This window comes from Homo sapiens, chromosome 1 (assembly GCF_000001405.40).
Source record: "Homo sapiens chromosome 1, GRCh38.p14 Primary Assembly".
Lineage (NCBI taxonomy): Eukaryota > Metazoa > Chordata > Mammalia > Primates > Hominidae > Homo > Homo sapiens.
Window position 1 is genome coordinate 34,323,503 of NC_000001.11, and position 17,438 is coordinate 34,340,940.

General features: G+C 45.6%; 2 annotated features.

Annotated features, from left to right (window-relative positions):
* Positions 900 to 2,099: an enhancer, noted in NCBI's record as "CDK7 strongly-dependent group 2 enhancer chr1:34790003-34791202 (GRCh37/hg19 assembly coordinates)". NCBI's record gives its function as "activates an origin of replication core promoter dependent on BRD2, BRD4, P300/CBP, MED14 and CDK7 cofactors, with strong dependence on CDK7, by STARR-seq in HCT116 cells {active_cell/tissue: HCT116}" and the evidence as "EXISTENCE:reporter gene assay evidence [ECO:0000049][PMID:35650434]".
* Positions 9,812 to 9,921: an enhancer, noted in NCBI's record as "active region_712". NCBI's record gives its function as "activates an Ori minimal core promoter by ATAC-STARR-seq in GM12878 lymphoblastoid cells {active_cell/tissue: GM12878}" and the evidence as "EXISTENCE:reporter gene assay evidence [ECO:0000049][PMID:35858748]".

The window sequence follows — 17,438 nt, forward strand, 5'->3', positions numbered from 1 at the left end:
CACCTTGGATGTCCAGCTCAATTGAATCTTCAGATGCAGCAGCCCCGGGTGACATTATACTGCAATCATATGGGATTCACATGTGCAATCATATGCAATCATATTGCAATCACATATCTGCCCATCCCCTAGCTTTTCCAAAATTCATGACCCCCACAGTCATGAGCAGTTGTTTTAAACTGCTAACTTATGGAGTAATTTGTTACAAAGCAATAGTTACCAGAAAGATAGGCATTCTTATGGGTCTTGTTTTATAAACAAGTGTTCTAAGACTCAAACAAAGTAAATTCCTTCCCCAAAGTCACAGAGCTCTTAAGTGATGGAATTAGAATCTTCGGTCTTTCTCTCTTTCTCTTTATTTCTTTTCCTTCCTTCCTTCCTTCCTTCCTTCCTTCCTTCCTTCCTCCTTCCTTCCTTCCTTCCTTCCTTCCTTCCTTCCTTCCTTCCTTCCTTCCTTTCTTTCTTTCTTTCTTTCTTTCTTTCTTTCTTTCTTTCTTTCTTTCCTTCTTTCTTAGACGGAGTCTCACTCTCTCACCAGGCTGGAGTACAGTGGTGTGATCTCAGCTCACTGTAACCTCCGCCCCTGGGGTTCAAGCAATTCTGCTGCCTCAGCCTCCTGAGTAGCTGGGATTATAGGCAAGTGCCACCACGCCCAGCTAATTTTTGTATTTTTAGTAGAGATGGGGTTTCACCATGTTGGCCAGGATGGTCTTGATCTCTTGACCTCGTGATCCACCCACCTTGGCCTCCCAAAGTGCTGGTATTACAGGCGCAAGCCACCGCATCCAGCCAATCTTTTGTCTTTCATACTGCGTGGCCTGTGCTATCACTGTCCACCTATTAAACAACAGTCTATGCAACTTAGTTATGGGTTTGGTATAGGTCTGTAAGTCATGGACCCCCATTCATGGACGGAACTCAAGGTTGGAAGTGCCTGTTCTAGGCTCATTTGGGGGATTAGCCTCAGGAGCTACCTCCAAGGAGAATTCACATATCATGCATGGATGGTCTATGTGCCATGACCACTCTCTCCTGCAACTAGCAGGGGTGTTTTCTTCAACTTCAGAAGGCAGCATAAACTGTGAGTTAAGAACACAGGGACAGGGCTCTGCCATTTAACAGCCCTATGACCTTAGAGCAATCAGTTACTCCACTTCTTGGAGCCACAGGTTTCTCAGATGGAAAATTGATAATGATAGTAGAACACAATTCATAGGGTTGTTCGGGGTATTAAGTGAAATAATGTATAAAAAGTACTGATCACATTTCGTGGCAGTTAGCATGCTCCTTCTTAATTAGTTACTATTGTTAATACAGGTGAGAGTCAGATACACACTGAGCCCTGTGAAAAAAACATGTTCTTTCCCCCACTCCTACTACTCCATAGAACCCCTTTAATGGGACTTAACTCACCTGGTTTTCCTCACAAAAGCCATGATTCAAGGTAGAACACCTCGGGTGAGTAACAAAGCTCACGCTGAGTAAAAAGAGGCCGTCCTGACGCATTGTCCCCGCTCCCTATTTCTTCAGCCGAAGGCAGGATTGCCTCAGCACAATGATTTGGAATCTGAATACCCGACTTCTCTGGCTTTCGGTGTCCTCATATGAAAAATAGAAATGGTATTGATTACCTCATGGTGGCTGTGAACATTCGACGAGATGATGAATGTCTGGCAGTGGAAAACAGTGCTTGGGGAAGACTAACAGTTCTTCCTGGCTGCTCTTTTCTGGGCCATTCTCCAAAGGGTGCTAAGTATTACACTTCTCCCTCCTCCCTGCTCTCACTGTTGTCAGAAACCTCTGGGCTTGTAGCAAGGGATTTCAAGGTGCTGAATTCCTTCTATGGAAATTCAAGCAAAGCTGAGGCACCACCCTGATCCATCCTTCTTGTGGGAATGAGAAAGCCCCTTCCACTCTTGAGGGACAAGGAGATCAGATTTATGGGGCGCCCTGGTATCACAATCACATAGGCTTTGGGAAGCCCATGAAGAATGTGGATTGGAAAGAGCACTGGATTTGAGGCGCAGGAAACCTGAGTATCAGACTTGTGGCTCTTTCCCTTTTGAGCTCTCTTTCCTTGGCAATGGCATTGAGCCTCAGTTTCTCTGTCTTTAAAAATGGGGACAATAGTTATACCTGTCTTACTTGGATTGCAAGCTTATTGTGAAGTTTAAAAAGAACAAGAGGGTATGATAGAGTCTCTGCAGATGTCCTTTATTGCTCTTAGTCTTGGGCAGGAATCTAGTCTACCTACACAAAACTAAGACAGCATAAGCAGGAGTCCTCAGAGAGAAGCAAGGAGCAGAATCTTAGTTCTGTGCACTGGAAACCACTTTCATTCTCCTGAAAGGGAGTAAACTTACTTTATTTTTGTAATATTCTCCTATTTCTTACTCTTGAGAATGGCATTATCCTAGCCAGCCCTGTAGAAGCAAGTCTAGATACCCTCTAGCTCACTGTCCATACCAAATCATCAAGTCTAATGGAGTAAATAAGGATAATTAGTAATTATAGAGTATATGCAATGTACCAGGGATAGTTCTAAGTGCTTTACATGGATCATCTCATTTCATTCATAGAATAACTACTATCAGGTAGTTGCTTTTATTATCTCTCATTCACAGATGAAGAAAGTCAAGTGCAGAGAGGTTAAGTAACTTATTCAAGGTCACACAGCTGGTAAGGGATCCCAGCAGGCTTTGAACTCTGGAAGCTGACTTCAGAGCTTTTGCACATAACCACTACCCTGATCCTCTCCCACCATGCTGTCTCAAGCAACTCTTGCTGACATTCCTATGGTATCTCCTAGCTGGCATAAGTGCCCTGGTCTTACTCTTCTGTAAACCATTCCCTGCACAGCTACCAGAGAATTCTTCCTAAAAGACAACTCTGATCAAGTCACTCTCTGCTTGAAGATTTTCAAGGGTTCCCCATTTTCCACAGGATAAAGTCCAAGCTCCTCCAATCGGCTCATAAATCCCTGGGTGGTCTGGCCCGTGTGAACCTCTCTCCAGCCTGCTTCCCACTGCACTCTGTACATTTTATATTCAGGGACGCTGGATTGTTCTATGCTCCTTCATTCTGCTATATTTTGGTGTCTTAATATTTAATTCCTTATCCCTCCTGATAGCCTCTTCATCAGCTGAAAACTCCTACTCATCCAAGTCAACTACAAACCCTTCCCTGCCCCACCCAGACCCTTCTCCTAGGTTCCTTGAGCATCCTGGGCTTACTCCCATTACAGTGTCTATCGCGTTGGAATGCAACAATTTGTCTGCAGGTCTATCTGCCAATAGACCACAAGTTCCAGAAGGCAGAATCCTCTTTAGCTCTTGACACCTTCCATAAATCCAGTACTATAGGGCATTCATAAACACTGCCAAAAATACTTTTAGGTGTGGAAAATTATTCCTATTTGCATGATGGCACAATACCAGGTAACAGTGCTCTTGGATCCCAACCTATCATCCTGGTTTCCTCACAAGAAGGAAGCCTCAGCAACTCTGCCTAGTCCCTGCTTTACCAAAACCCAGAAATGCACGGGTTTCAGCATCCGCACACCCTCTCCTCGCATCTCCCTCCATCATCTCTCTCTTCTCACTATCTCAGCTCCTGAGGGTCCTTTCCATCCATGCTAGAGTAGACTGCTCACTGCTTGCATCACTAGCCCAGACCATACAGGGTCTACTCCCGGTCCACTTTTCAAACCACCTACTTTCTCACCTAGGTTTAGCTTAGACAAGGCACACATTTTTCAAGACAACATGGTGAAACTCCGTCTGTACTAAAAAATACAAAAATTAGCCTTGTGTGGGCCGGGCGCGGTGGCTCATGCCTGTAATCCCAGCACTTTGGGAGGCCAAGGCGGGCGGATCACGAGGTCAGGAGATCGAAACCATCCTGGCTAACATGGTGAAACCCCGTCTCTACTAAAAATACAAAAAAAATTAGCCGGGCGTGGTGGCAGGCGCCTGTAGTCCCAGCTACTCAGGAGGCTGAGGCAGGAGAATGGCGTGAACCCGGGAGGCGGAGCTTGCAGTGAGCCGAGATGGTGCTACTGCACTCCAGCCTGGGCGACAGAGCAAGACTCCGTCTCAAAAAAAGCAAACAAAAACAAAAACAAAAAACCCCAAAAATTAGCTAGGTGTGGTGGCATGCACCTGTAAACCCAGCTACTTAGGAGGTTGAGGCAGGAGAATCACTTGTACCCGGGAGGCAGAGCTTGCAGTGAGCCGAGATCAGGCCACTGCACTCCGGCCTGGGCGAGAGGGAGAGACTCCGTCTCAATAAATAAATAAATAAATAAATAAATAAATAAATAAATAAATAAATAGGCACGTTTATTGAGTAACCAGGGGAAGCAACAAAGAAAGAGGTGGCTAATAAATGTTAATAAATGTGGGATTTTATGTATCCCAAGCTCCTACTTGTGTCTGCCTTCCACACTAGGCTGTGAGCCTCACAAGGGCATCTTAGGTGCAGCACAGTGCCTAGGCTGGGAGTGTCTGTGAAATGAATGAATGAATGAATGAGTGAGTGAATGAATGAATGGTGACATGACATGTTGGGAGATTATTTGGCTCAATTCTTTGAACAGGACACTGCTAAGAACACCCAGTAGGGTCACCTGTGTAAGGACTACTAGGAAACATACTTTGCACAACATTCCTCGTGGATGGTGTGAAAAAGCGTTGTTCTTTTGGGACTTCCCAGGGCACAGGATGCCTCAGGGCTGAACTCCAGTCAGGGGGAGGAGAAGCTGGAGAAGAAGCAACATTTCCCTGTGGCCCAGGACTGGAATTCCAATTCTCCACTTGAAAGGGAGAACATCATCTAACTTATCTCTTCTCCAGGGTAGACCTGCAAGAGGCTGCCAGGGAATCTGCCAGGTGTTTTATTTTTCCGCATTGGTGTGTAAATGACAACTAGCTGCCTTTCCGGCTGGAGGGAGGTTTCTGTTTAATTCAGGCTCTGGAGAGATGTCGTGGCAACCCGCACCTCCAGCGGAGAGGTTTATCTAATTGCACATGCAGGCCCACCTCCCTGTTCTGCTTCAGGAGGCTTTGCTGTTTATTGCATGCCCTGCCGTGCATGAGCTGTCACCTCTTCTGTGAAGCCTTCCTAGCCACGTGGCTCACAATCCCCACCAGAGCCCCCTCTCTCCCAGACTGCATCAACCATATATAACCCAACCTGGCAGCAGTCTACTCATTTGCTTTTGCTACGTAACCACCATGCTACAACTTGTAGGCTTAAAACAATAAGCATTTACCAGCTCACAATTCAGTGGGTGGTTCTGCTGGTCTAGGCTGGGTTCCCTCTGGCAGCTTCAGTCACCTGTCAGTCAGCTAAGTTCTGCCAGCCTAGTGAGCTACACATCTCTTGTCTTCCAGGAGGTTAACCCGAGCTTGTATGCATGGCTGTGCAGGATTTCAAGGTGAGTACAGAAGCTGAGGGGCTCTCTTGAGGCCTAAACTCTGAATAGGCACAACATCCCATCTGCCCCATTCTATTGTTTAAAGCAAGTCACAAAGGCCAGCATTGATTTCAGCATCTGGAAAACAGGCTTCACTCTCCAAGGAAGGAGTTTGAATCCATGTTGCATAGAGGTATGCATGCAGGAAGAGAAAGAACTTGCAGCCATTTGACCATCTGCAGGTGGTCTGTTATACTGGTTTATTATTTAAACCTGGTCCTGATAAGGATTAGGTCTGAGGCTAAAATCCAGGAATATGAATTCCAAGTAACTGTCACAATAAAGTCTAGCATTTAGCCTATAGCTTGGGCTTTGAAGTCTACAGTCCTAGGTGTAAATTCTCTCTCTGCTGCTTATTCATTGTGTGACCTTGGGTAAATCACTTCCTTCTTTTGAGCTTCCATTTTCTCTTCTGAAAAATAGTAATATTAATAATATCAGCTTTGCAGGATATCTGTAAGGACCAAATGGCGTTTGAGCATAAAGCCCTTAGCACGGTGCTTGGCACAAGGTAAATGCTTAATTAAAGTGGCTTTTATTATTATGATTGTTCTTAAAAACAACGGATGTTTTCTCATCTACCATAAACTAAAACAATGGAATCCCCTCTCTCATATTCTTATACTGTGAGTTCCTCAAGGGCACAGTCTATATGTACAAACATATTCACTATAGCTTTGTTTATTATAGAAAAAAATTGAAAGAAGCATAAATATCCAACAGTAGGGGGTTGGTTAAATGAATTTTACTCTATCGACCCAAAGGATTGCAATGTAGTCATCAAGAATGATGTAGAGCTGTGTGTGCTGACATTGAAAGCCAAACATGATGTATTGTCAAGTGGAAAGGAAGGTTGCAAAATAGTACATATAGTACAAAGCCATCTGTGTAAAATATATTTATGTGTAGATGTACACCTAGAGGTCTTGGTGGAAATATGTAAAAAATGTAAAGATGGGAAGCTGTCTAGCTTCATGTTGTAAGATTATAGGATTTCCCCCCCTTTTATCTTAGCTTTCCTAACTTCTCTTCAATGAAATGTATCAGTTAAGTAAATTTCTTTCAAAAGTTGCAATGGGAGAGCCACTTTGGGGCAACATAAAGGCAAGACTTCAGAACCACTGCTATGTGCCAGGCCTTGAAGGTGGCACTAGGAGTTTTTGAGCCTCTTAATTCCAGGCTGTGTGCTGGATGCCTCCTCCCCGAAGCTCTGGGGTGTGTTTTCACAGAAGCTACAACAGTTCACTCCTGACCCTCACTGTGGGATCGCTTTTCCCTGAGGGCACCAACAGCTGCTTTTTCCTTTCTTTGCTCTTGGAAACATTCCAATAGTTCCCAGGAAGCCAGTGTCGAAGGGAGAGGTAGGGTAACTTCTCAGGGGCTGTTCCATCCCCTTTCCAATCAGCTTGGGAGATGGAGGGACAAGGACCAGACCCAAGTGTCCAGGCTTGCAGCTCAGACCAGGGCAGTGGATGGGGGCTAGAAGACCAAGAACTTTCAGGGTGTAGGACCAGGGACTCTACTACCCTCACTGGTGCAACCAGAAAGGAAGGTACAAGTCAATGGCAGCACCAGAGGTACAGAGACCTGACTTAGAGGGGCTGAGCTACTTAAAAATTAAGAATGTCCACTAGCCATGATGCAGACACTCATCTCACCCAGGAGACCCCTCAGGCCCTCAGAGAAATAGATATCCCACCCCAGGCCACACTGTGTTTCCCCAACTCACCTAGATCCCCAGCTGAGTTCGCTCCGGAGACTGTGCACTTTCATGGGCCCTGAAGCATCTCTGTTAGGTACTTCCCTTACTGACTGACCTAGTTTCTCCTGTAGGAGCCCCTGGGTCAGTGTATCCTCTTAAGGGTTTGCGAAAAGCAAAATGACCAACCCCAGCCACTTAAACAAGAGGAGATTTGATGCTTCTTACCAAAAGCGCATTTGCCACATCAGGAACTAGCATATCCCAGTAAGAGTGGGTTATGTTGATGATGCAGCTGTGGCCGGATTCTAGCAGCTGGGCAAGTTTGAGTGTGATCGTTGATACCGCACAGTGACTGGGGGCTTTTAGGGCATGGGAATCGGAAGATTAAGATAACTGAGGAAAACAGTTTGGGGAACAACGCAGTGATTTTTAAAATATTTGGCTGAGGCATTTCCCTAATAACACTTTGGATAGATCAATGAGGCCATCTCCCTGGTTAACCACAGAGAAGCATGGTGGATATGGCTTCCGCCCTTGTCATGCCAAAATGCAAACATTTGTGGGCGTGTGTGGATGTGATGTTGAGTCACAATATTGTTAATTATGAGGAAGTTTAGAAATTGAGGCAAACTTTCTCCCACCCCCATTTGCCAACAAATTAAGGCAGGCTGGCTGTGAATTACCAGCCATCATTCCTCCCTTTTCCAACTCCATAATTGGGTTAGAATACCTCTGTTAGACTATGTTGCCTCCAGAACTTGAGCTAAGTTAGAGCCTTTTATAAATTAGGCTATAAGTGGGAATATGTTTTCCCATCTGGTATCTAAATTTAGAAAATCTGCCATTTTGCATGAGGCACTGAGATAAACAGCAAAGCCCAGGGTTCTGTGGTATTTGTGTGGCTTGAGACGCAGCATGTATGCATAGTAGTGGTGGAATCCCTGGGCTTTATAGGAACTGCTGAGATGCCACTTCTGACTCTACTACTTATTATGTTGTGGCCTTGGACAAGTATCTTACTCTGTCTGTGTCTCAGTGTTTCCATCAGCAAAATGGGGAAATGAGAGCACCAGCCTCATAAGGTTACCATGGAGTCTTTGTAAAGTGCTTAGAATGCCTTTACAAGGCACAGTCCCTGGAGCGAACTCATCTGGGGATCTAGGTGAGTTGGGGAAACACAGTGTGGCCCGGGGTGGGATATCTATTTCTCCGAGGGCCTGAGGGGTCTCCTGGGTGAGATGAGTGTCTGCATCATGGCTCGTGGACATTCTTGATTTTTAAGTAGCTCAGCCCCTCTAAGTAGGGTCAGTCTCTATACCTCTGGTGCTGCCATTGACTCGTACCTTCCTTTCTTGCCACACCAATGAAGGTAGCACAGTCCCTGGTCCTACACCCTGAACGTTCTCAGTCCTTTAGCCCCTGTCCACTGCCCTGGCCTGAGCTGCAAGCCTGGATACCTGGGTCTAGTCCTTGTCCCTCCATCTCTCAAGCTGTTTAGAAAGGGGATGGAGCTGCCCCTGAGTTCCATATGAGAGGAACCAAGTAAACCTTAACAACCACTATTCCTAGGCTTAAACTGCATAAAATTCCAAGTGCACAAAGGCATCCTATTACAAGAGATCTTCTGGAGCAACACAAGGTGAATGTGGCATTGGTGCACTCTCTTTTCTGAGAAGGTGGCCTTCACTGTCAGAGTTGTCTGCCTTAACCCAGCTGGAGTTACACCCAACTCTCTGCCTGCCTTCACCCCTGCATCCTTACAGCCAGATGTGGCTGGAGGGAAACCTCTAAGGGCTCTCCTCTTCAGTGTATGTCCACCCAAGTCAAAGAGACCCTTAACACAATCTGATAATTAGGCACCAGACCCTGACTCCTGCTCTCTCTCCATCTCCTGAATAATTATTTCACACCTCCTCTTCCTTCTCCTCCTCCTCACTCTTAGTACTAGCCTTCCTCCCTAGTTCCCTGAGAACATGGACAGGCTCAGAGGATAACTTTCACAGCTTTTCAGAGCCTCGGTATCTGCATCTTTGCCCGTGCTGCCTTCCCTCCTGTTGAGCTGTGCATGCTCCTGTTCTAGGCCACTCTCAACCTATGCACCAGATTTCATCCCTTCTTGTCTCAGAAGGACATCCATTGATCCTGACAATATCTCCTCTGTTTTCCTCATATCAATTCTCCTTTGCTGTGGCATCATTCCCATAATCATGCAAACATTGTTAAAACAACAACAGTCTTTATGACACCTCTCCTACCCCAGATCCTCCCAAATCTCTCCACACCTCCTTACAACACTGTTTTGGAAGCATTGCCCATATGTATGCTATCAACATCCTTTCCTCCCATTTCATCGAACCTGTTCAACTCGCTTTTATTCCTACAGCTCTGCAAGGTCACTAGCAACTTTTTGTTGCCTAATCCAAGGTCAGCCCTCAGTGATTAACCTCCTCAGCCTCTCAGCAGCAGCTGACACAGCCACTTTCCCCCTCCTGCCTGAAACACTTTCTTCTCTTAGTTTCTTATCCACCTCTTGCCTTATTGGGCAATTTCAACCTACTTAGAGGTTGGTTCCCTCTTGTCTCTCTTGCCTTTCAATGTTGACGTGCAGTTTCACTCAGTCTCAAACTTTTTCTCTTCTCTATCTGAACTAGGTCGTCCTATCTGGTCTCATGACTTTAAACTCCATGTTTAGGCAGAGGACACCCAAATGTGTAACTTCAACCCAGATATCTCCCCCGAATAGCCACATATCTGATTATTTATTGAACATCTCCACTTGAATAACTAATGGACATCTCTACCTAAAGTATCCAAAACTGAACTTCTCATAGCTATCACCACACTAGCTCCACTTGGACTCCCTCCTATCTCAGAAAATGGCAATGTTATTCTTCCACTTGTTCAGGCCTCAAATCTTGGAATTATCTCAACTCCTCTCCTTCTTCCCCCATATCCAATCTGTCAGCAAATCCAGCTGGCTCTTCTTTCAAAATTAAGCCAGAATAAGGCTTCTTTTCACCACTGCTGATATTACCACCCTGGCCAAAGACATGATCATCTCTCACCTGGATTATTTCAGTCTTCTTCCAATTGGTTCTCCTGCACTCCTGCATCTATTCTCAGTGTAGCACCTGGGTGAGATTTTGATCCTTTAAAAATACACATCCTGTCATATCACCCCTCAGCAGCAAACCCTCCCTTAGCTTTCCTTTTCACCTCGAGAAAAAGCCAAAGGCCTTGCAGTGGTATACAAGGGCCAGAGGCCCCCACTGCCTTCTGGACCTCAGCTCCTGAGGCTCTTGCTGACACTGAACCTGCTCAAACCACACTGGCCTCCTTGTTTTTCTTTCAGTGTATCAAGCAAACACTGACCTCAGGCCCTTTGTGTGGGTATTCTCTCTCTAGAAATCTCTCCTCCAGTGATCTGCATGATTCACCTAATTCAAACCTTGCTCAAGTGTCACCTCCTCAGAGACAGCTCCAATCCCTTCACCTCTGTTGCTCCCAAACTCCTTCCTCTGCTTTATTTCCCTCCATATTTCTTCTCCAATAGCAGAGCTCCTCATCTGTTTTGTTCACTGCTATAGGTCCAGAACTTAGCACACTTAGTAGTTCTCCATGAACTTTTGCTTAATGAATGGATAAGTAAACCTACTCTCCCCAACTCCTTGTCATGTGAGTTGTCATGGGAATGTGGAAGGTATAGTGTTGGGATGACAGCATGATGGGGTCAGTGGGAAGGACCTGGGAGGTAGATACAATTTTGTAACTTGTAAATTATTTAAAAGCCCTCTCTCACTGAGTAAGGTTTGGCCTGGGGCATGAAGGCAATTGGGTCTTCTAAGATTCTGCAATTCTGACATCTCTGTCTTAATTTACATAATTCCAAGGGCTACCACTGGTAAGGTACAAGGAGATCCATGAATGGTGTATGTACCATGCATTTGCCACAGATTTCCATGGGTATGTTATGTCTTCCTTAAAAACCTCTGGTGGGCAAGGAGGGGTGTTTGATGTTTTCTGTATCCTTTGGAAATCTCATGATTGTAACATGAGTTACGTACTTACTAAAGGCTGATTGATAGATTGATTGCACAAAATGTAAGAGGAGCCATGAAGGCTGGGAGATGTTCTGCAATGAGGTTTACCATCTAACTCTGTAACTAGAGATTTAACTAATTGATTGCCCTTTGCAGTTACGGTGAGCTTGCTTACCTGTATTCTCTTCCCAGTAGAGCTATTAGACAGTACAGGCAATAACCCCCAAATTCCAGTGGCTTAAAAAAATACAAGTTCATTTCTCACCCACGAAAAGCCCAATCAGTTGTTTGGAGGGTGCTCTACCAGGAAGGAATTATTGGGCCCAGGTTTAACCATTTTGTGGTTCCAGCACCCCTAAGGGTCTGGGAGTCCTCTGTTAGAACCCCTGCTAACAGATGTGGAAAGAGAGGAGATATCCTGAGTGGGAGGACTGTGTGGCAAACATGCCCACTCCCATTCCCTTGGTCAGAATTCAGTCACATGATCACACCTAGCTTCAAGGGAGGTTGAGAGACATCATCTAGCCAGCCATGTGCCTGGGGGGAAAAAGAAATGGTTTTGATGGATAGCAGTTGAGTCCCTACCATGACGGAGAAACTGAAGGTCAACATTAGCCTACCCCAGACCACATAATGACAAATTCTGTTTCTCAGGTAACCTTGGGTAAGTTAAAATCACCATGTCTCAGTTTTCTCTCTCCAAAAACCCTCTTCCTCAATCCCCTTTTCTCCTGATCCTATTAACTTTCTATGAGGGTGAAACATTTACGATTTGTTTACCAGTGACTTAGCTACTTTTTCTAGGTTCTACTGACTGGTCTGTCTCGCAATTCATGCTGAGATCCAAGATCTACCACACTAGAAGCTTAGCGAAAGCTTCCATCTTTTTACACTGTTATTACTAGTTATTGAGAATGTCCCAGGAATAGCCAACAGCTCATGCAAAGGTCTCAAGGCAGGAAGGAGTTCAAGGGGGCTGGGAAGCATCTATGGCCTGGAGGCTTGGCATGAGGTGCCTGGCATCGGGCATCTCCAATCTACACTGCCAATTGTGTGAGCTTAGACAAGTTATGTAATATCCAGGGCTGTATTCATTTCGGTTTACTAGGGATAATAGAGGCATTGATCTTATAAGTATATTGTGATGATTCAATGAGATAACATATCTGGAATACTAACTATGCCTGACTTGTTAGCTGTTATTATTGTTACTATATCACCATAATTATGTTAAAATGATCAGCCAACCTTTACCTGGGTCCTTGTTTCAGAAAACTTTTCCCTCTAGGCAGCCTCTGCCTTTCTAATCCAGCATCTACATGGAACAACCACGGCCTCCCAGGGCAGATCATGTGTTTGTTGTAGCTGCTATGGCCCCATTGAAACCCAGGTTCCGGCCCTGTGGCCCTGCTTCTCAGATGACTTGTGCCCTGAGCACATGAACCTCGATCAACATCAGATCCATCTGTCCACTCTTGCCCTGCTTTTCTATAATTGCATTTGTTTTGTGCCACATAGGTCAGAGTTACATTCGTTGGATTGGTCATTCTGGAAATCCCTACTCTGCCAGGAGTTTCATATTTATCCATGCTGCAACTGTCTTTGAATTTTAGCTCAGATCCACAGCCAGAAGATTCTCTGACAACTGACAGAATGAAACTCTTGTGAATGAGGAGACAGGTTGGCCTGGCTTTCTGACGCTCCCGGCTCCCTTTCGGACCCCTTCCCTCAGGCAGACAGGGAGCCCTCCCTGCTCCTCAGGGTTTTGCTCCAGACATCCAGGGGTCAATGGGAGGTCCAGAAACCTGCCAGGTGAGGCCTTCTGAAAACAAGAAATCCCTGTACAACCAAGGGAATCTCTAGTCCCTCATCTCATGGCCTTTCATTCCAAGCAACAGGCAGTGACAGGACAAAGCAACGCTGACAGCTTGGTGGAGCTCATTGTGGCGGAGGTGTGAGCTGAATGGAGCTGGCTTGCTGCTGATGTGCCCTGTGTGTTTACCTACACACCACAAAGGAAGCAGGTTTAACCCTTCATGGAGCCTGTCTCCAATCTAGCTCTGATTGTTCATTTATTCATTCGTTTGTTTAATCAAGTGCTCAAGAAGAATTTAAGAAGAATTTAAAAATACTTCTTATGTGGCAGGCACTAAGATTATACTGGGAACACCAGTATAAATAAGACTGCTTCTCTCCTTGAGAAACTCGTGTTCTAAATACACAACAGATTAAAAACAGGGTACAAAATGCTGCAGTAAAAGTGAGCGTTGGCCAGGCTCAGTGGTTCATACCTGTAATCCCAGCACTTTGGGAGGCCAAGGTGGGTGGATCACTTGAGCCCAGGAGTTTGAGACCAGCCCGGGCAACCCCATCTATACAAAAAATACAAAAATTAGCTGGGCATGGTGGTGTGCACCTGTAGTCAGTCCCAGCTACCTGGGAGGCTGAGGTGGGAGGATCGCTCCAGCCCAGGAGGCAGAGGTTGCAATGAGCGAGATCACGCCACTGCACTCCAGCCATGGCAACAGAATGAGACCTTGTCAAAAAAAAAAAAAAAAAAGTGAGCATTAAGTATTATGAGAACACAGAGTAGGAAGGGGGCAATTTGCCTGATAGGGGATAGTAGGTCCGAGAAGGCTTCCCTAAAAAAGGAACATAACAATCTTGAAGAAATGGGCAGAGAATCTGGAGTGTGTTGAATAAAGTTGTTTTCGTTTCAGGTAACAGAAAGTGACTAATTGGTTAAAACAGAAGACAGCTATTGGGAGAGTCCTTGTTGTTTCAAGGAATCCAAGGAAGAGATGAGCAAGTACATCTCAAGAGCTGCAAGAAGCCAAACGCTCTATAGAGCTTGCATTGAGTTTGCATCTTCACTAACTCCTAGTCTCTGGGTCTTTTTTGGGTCCAAAATTCCAGATTTTTACAAGAACTTGATTGGCCCAGGTTGGTTCAGAGGTCCATTCTTGGCTTATTTATCTGGACCTGAAGGCACAATTCAGGTAGCTTAGACTCAACCACTGAATCCATGGCCTCTGGAGAAGAAGGCTTCAGAGAAGAGAGGTCACCATGGGCTTAGTGCTTACCCCAAGAGATGGCTTTTGCAAGGAGACAGGGCATTCTGGTTGGAGAAAGTAGTGTGGGCAAACACATTGAGACATGAAGGCTGAAAAAGGTCCATGGTGTGATTGTGGCAATACAGAAAATTTGGGGTTACTTCCGTTGTGCAATCTCTATAACATTGCATGTAAATGGAATATCCATTAATCATGTCATATTTTGTATGTAGGAAGGGAACCTGATATTTACAGTCATTTTAGTTAAGCTTTCTTGACTAATTTAAGCCAAAAGGGCACTTATTGGAAACTTATAGGGGGTGGGCACAAAATTGCAAAGGAGTGAGAAAAATCATGTTTCTAATTGGCAGGATCTGGACATGTCCTGCAAATTGTGGTGACAGACACCTCTCTGCCTTCCTCTGGTCACCACTGCTGGAATGAATAGAGTTGAGCTGTGTGCAGCAGGATGCCTCCAGAGACGTGCAAGCCAGACATGAGGTGAGGGCAGGATTCACTCGTTCTCAGGAAACTTGTCCCACAATTAAACAGCAAGAGTGCCAATAGGTGGGAGGATTCCGACTTCTTCAGGTGAACAGCTTGCCTCGTCTTGGCTTGGGCACACTTTAGAGGAACAATTGTTTTGTAGAGGGGTGGCCGTTCTGGAAACCAAGTCTAATGGCTGGTGTGGATGTGGAGAGTCAGGAATCAGCCATTGCTTCAGGGACTGTGGAAGAGGGTCCAAGATCTCTGTGGAGTCTGAAGAGTGTGCAGGTGAACTGCAGACAACGCCAGAACTGTGCATCCCTCTTCCTTTCCTCCCCCTACATTTTACCTCCCTAGAGCATTTCCACACCTACTGATGCCTTGCACCATGGAGATTAAATCTACAGACACTGGAGTCAGACAGGCTGGGTGTGCCTTCAGCCACTGCCCCTTTCTAATGAAGTGAGCTTAGGTGAATTATCTCACCTCTCTGAACCTCAGTGTTGTCTTAAAAAACATGGATATAATTGTAATCATGTCATTGGGTGGGTGGTTGTGCAAATGAGATAATGAATATGAATCACCAAGCCTATAGTGGATGCTCAATAAATGGCAGTTGCTTTTATGGTTGTGTTTTTGAATTGGTATTATTGTCACCACTCAGAAATGTACATGCTGGTTCTCAGCCTATGGGCCTAAAAACAAACACCCATAAAAGGATTTCTCTCTCTCTGTTCTTCTGGGAATCTTTCCAAGTTTTGTTTCCTAATTCTGCTGGTCCACCTTGCCTGTTCCTCATTTATGACTGATCATCATAGATTTGCATTTCTATGATCCATCAAGACGAGGAAGGAGATGGGACCAGATGGAACCAGGATTGAGCAGGAGGCTCTACTCTGGCACTGGACTCCCAGAAAGATTGCTATCCATCCTTTATGCCATGCTCATAGGGGCATGGAGAACTCAGACTGGACCCCTGTCATCTCCTGTATTGCTTAGGAAAGCATTTGGCTGCAAGTAACAGAAAACTTGGTTGAAAGTGGTTTAAACAAATAGGGGTTTATTTTTCTCACATCCGAGGTGCCTGGAGGCTGGAGGCTTCTGGAAATAGCTCAGCACCTGGATAATGTCAGGGGTGGCATCTCTGAGACTCTCCTGGCCTTTACATCTGCATTTTGCTTCATGACCACGGTTGGTTGCTACAGCTCTGGACAGGGCACCTGTGTTCAAGGTAGGAAGAGGAGAAGGAGAAAAGAGAGAGAGACAGCTCCAGCTCTGCCTTTCGCCCTTCATCATGGAGGTAGAAAACTTCCCAGAACCACTTAGAAGACTTCCAGATGCCACTGGCAAAACAAACAAACAAACAAACAAACAAAAAAACCAAGGTACAAAAGCCAACCCTACTTGCTGGGAGAGCAAAGCCTGGTCTTGTTATGTTCAGATTAGGGACAAATCTGGCTTGTCTACAAGGACTGGACACATCATTGCTATGAACAAAATCAGGTTCAATGAGCAAGGAAGAAAGAGGGAATAGATATTGAGTGGGCAAGAAACAGAACCTGCATAGTTTCACCCCCAGAAATTTAATCTTTGGGAGTGTGAGACACAGCAGGAGAGCTATGGCCAATGAGGGGCTGCATCCAAAGTGGGTGTGTGAAGCACATGCCATTGGAACTCCTCCAGGGCATTGGTAGGTGTGGAGATGCTCTAGGGAGGTAAAATGTAGAGAGACACAAGAAAGGGTGTGCACAGTCCTGGCCTTATCTAGAGTTCACCTGCACACTCTCCACGGAGACCTTGGACCCCCTTCCACAGGCCCTGAAGTGGTGGCTAATTTCTGATGCTCCACACCAGCATCAGTCATTCACTTTGGTTCTCAGGACAGCCACCTCACTATAAAACAATTGTTCCTTCCAAAGTGTGCCTGAGCCAGGACTAGGCAAGCTGTTCACCTGAGGAAGGCAGGATTCTTCCACCCCACTGGCATTCTTGCTGATCCACTGTGAGGCAAGATTCCTGGGAACCAGTGAATCCTGCCTCCACCCCATGTCTGACTTGCACATCTCCGGAGGCCTCCTAATTAGATTGCTCCGAGTATCTGTTTGATCCATGTTGTAGTTACTGTTTGGGCCTTTTCTAAGTCCCTTTACCTGTTCACACATTTCCCCCTGTGCTGCTGTTGCTGCTGCTGTTGCTGCTGCTGCTGCTGCAACTGCTGTGGCTGTTGGCCTATGACTAGTACCTCCTCTGAAAATTTGCCCTGGGAATGTAGGAAACTCCTGGCCTGGAGAAGTCTGAGAGGTTACACTTAATGGCCAGTTGGTATGAGCAGATAAACACTTGGCCTTTTTGTCTCACCGAATCATCACGCTGTGGTGTAATTTACACTCCAAAGCATCCCCTTGGGTTGGGCAAAGCTAGACTGTCTGAGTCCACAGTCTTGCTTGGCTCTTTTTCCTTCTATTTCCTGCTTCCTTCTGCCCGTTACAGGTTTTCTTGAGGAGCTCTTCCTCAACAAATATTAAATATTTCAGGCTCTCTTTCTAAAGAATGAAACCTAAGGCAAACCCTGTGCCAAGACTGTGCTTTGCAAGTGTCATCAAGCCTTGGGTAACATTCCAGGACTTTCACCCGAGATCCAGTTGACCCTAGTAGCAGGAATCCTCCAGCCTCACTCCCTT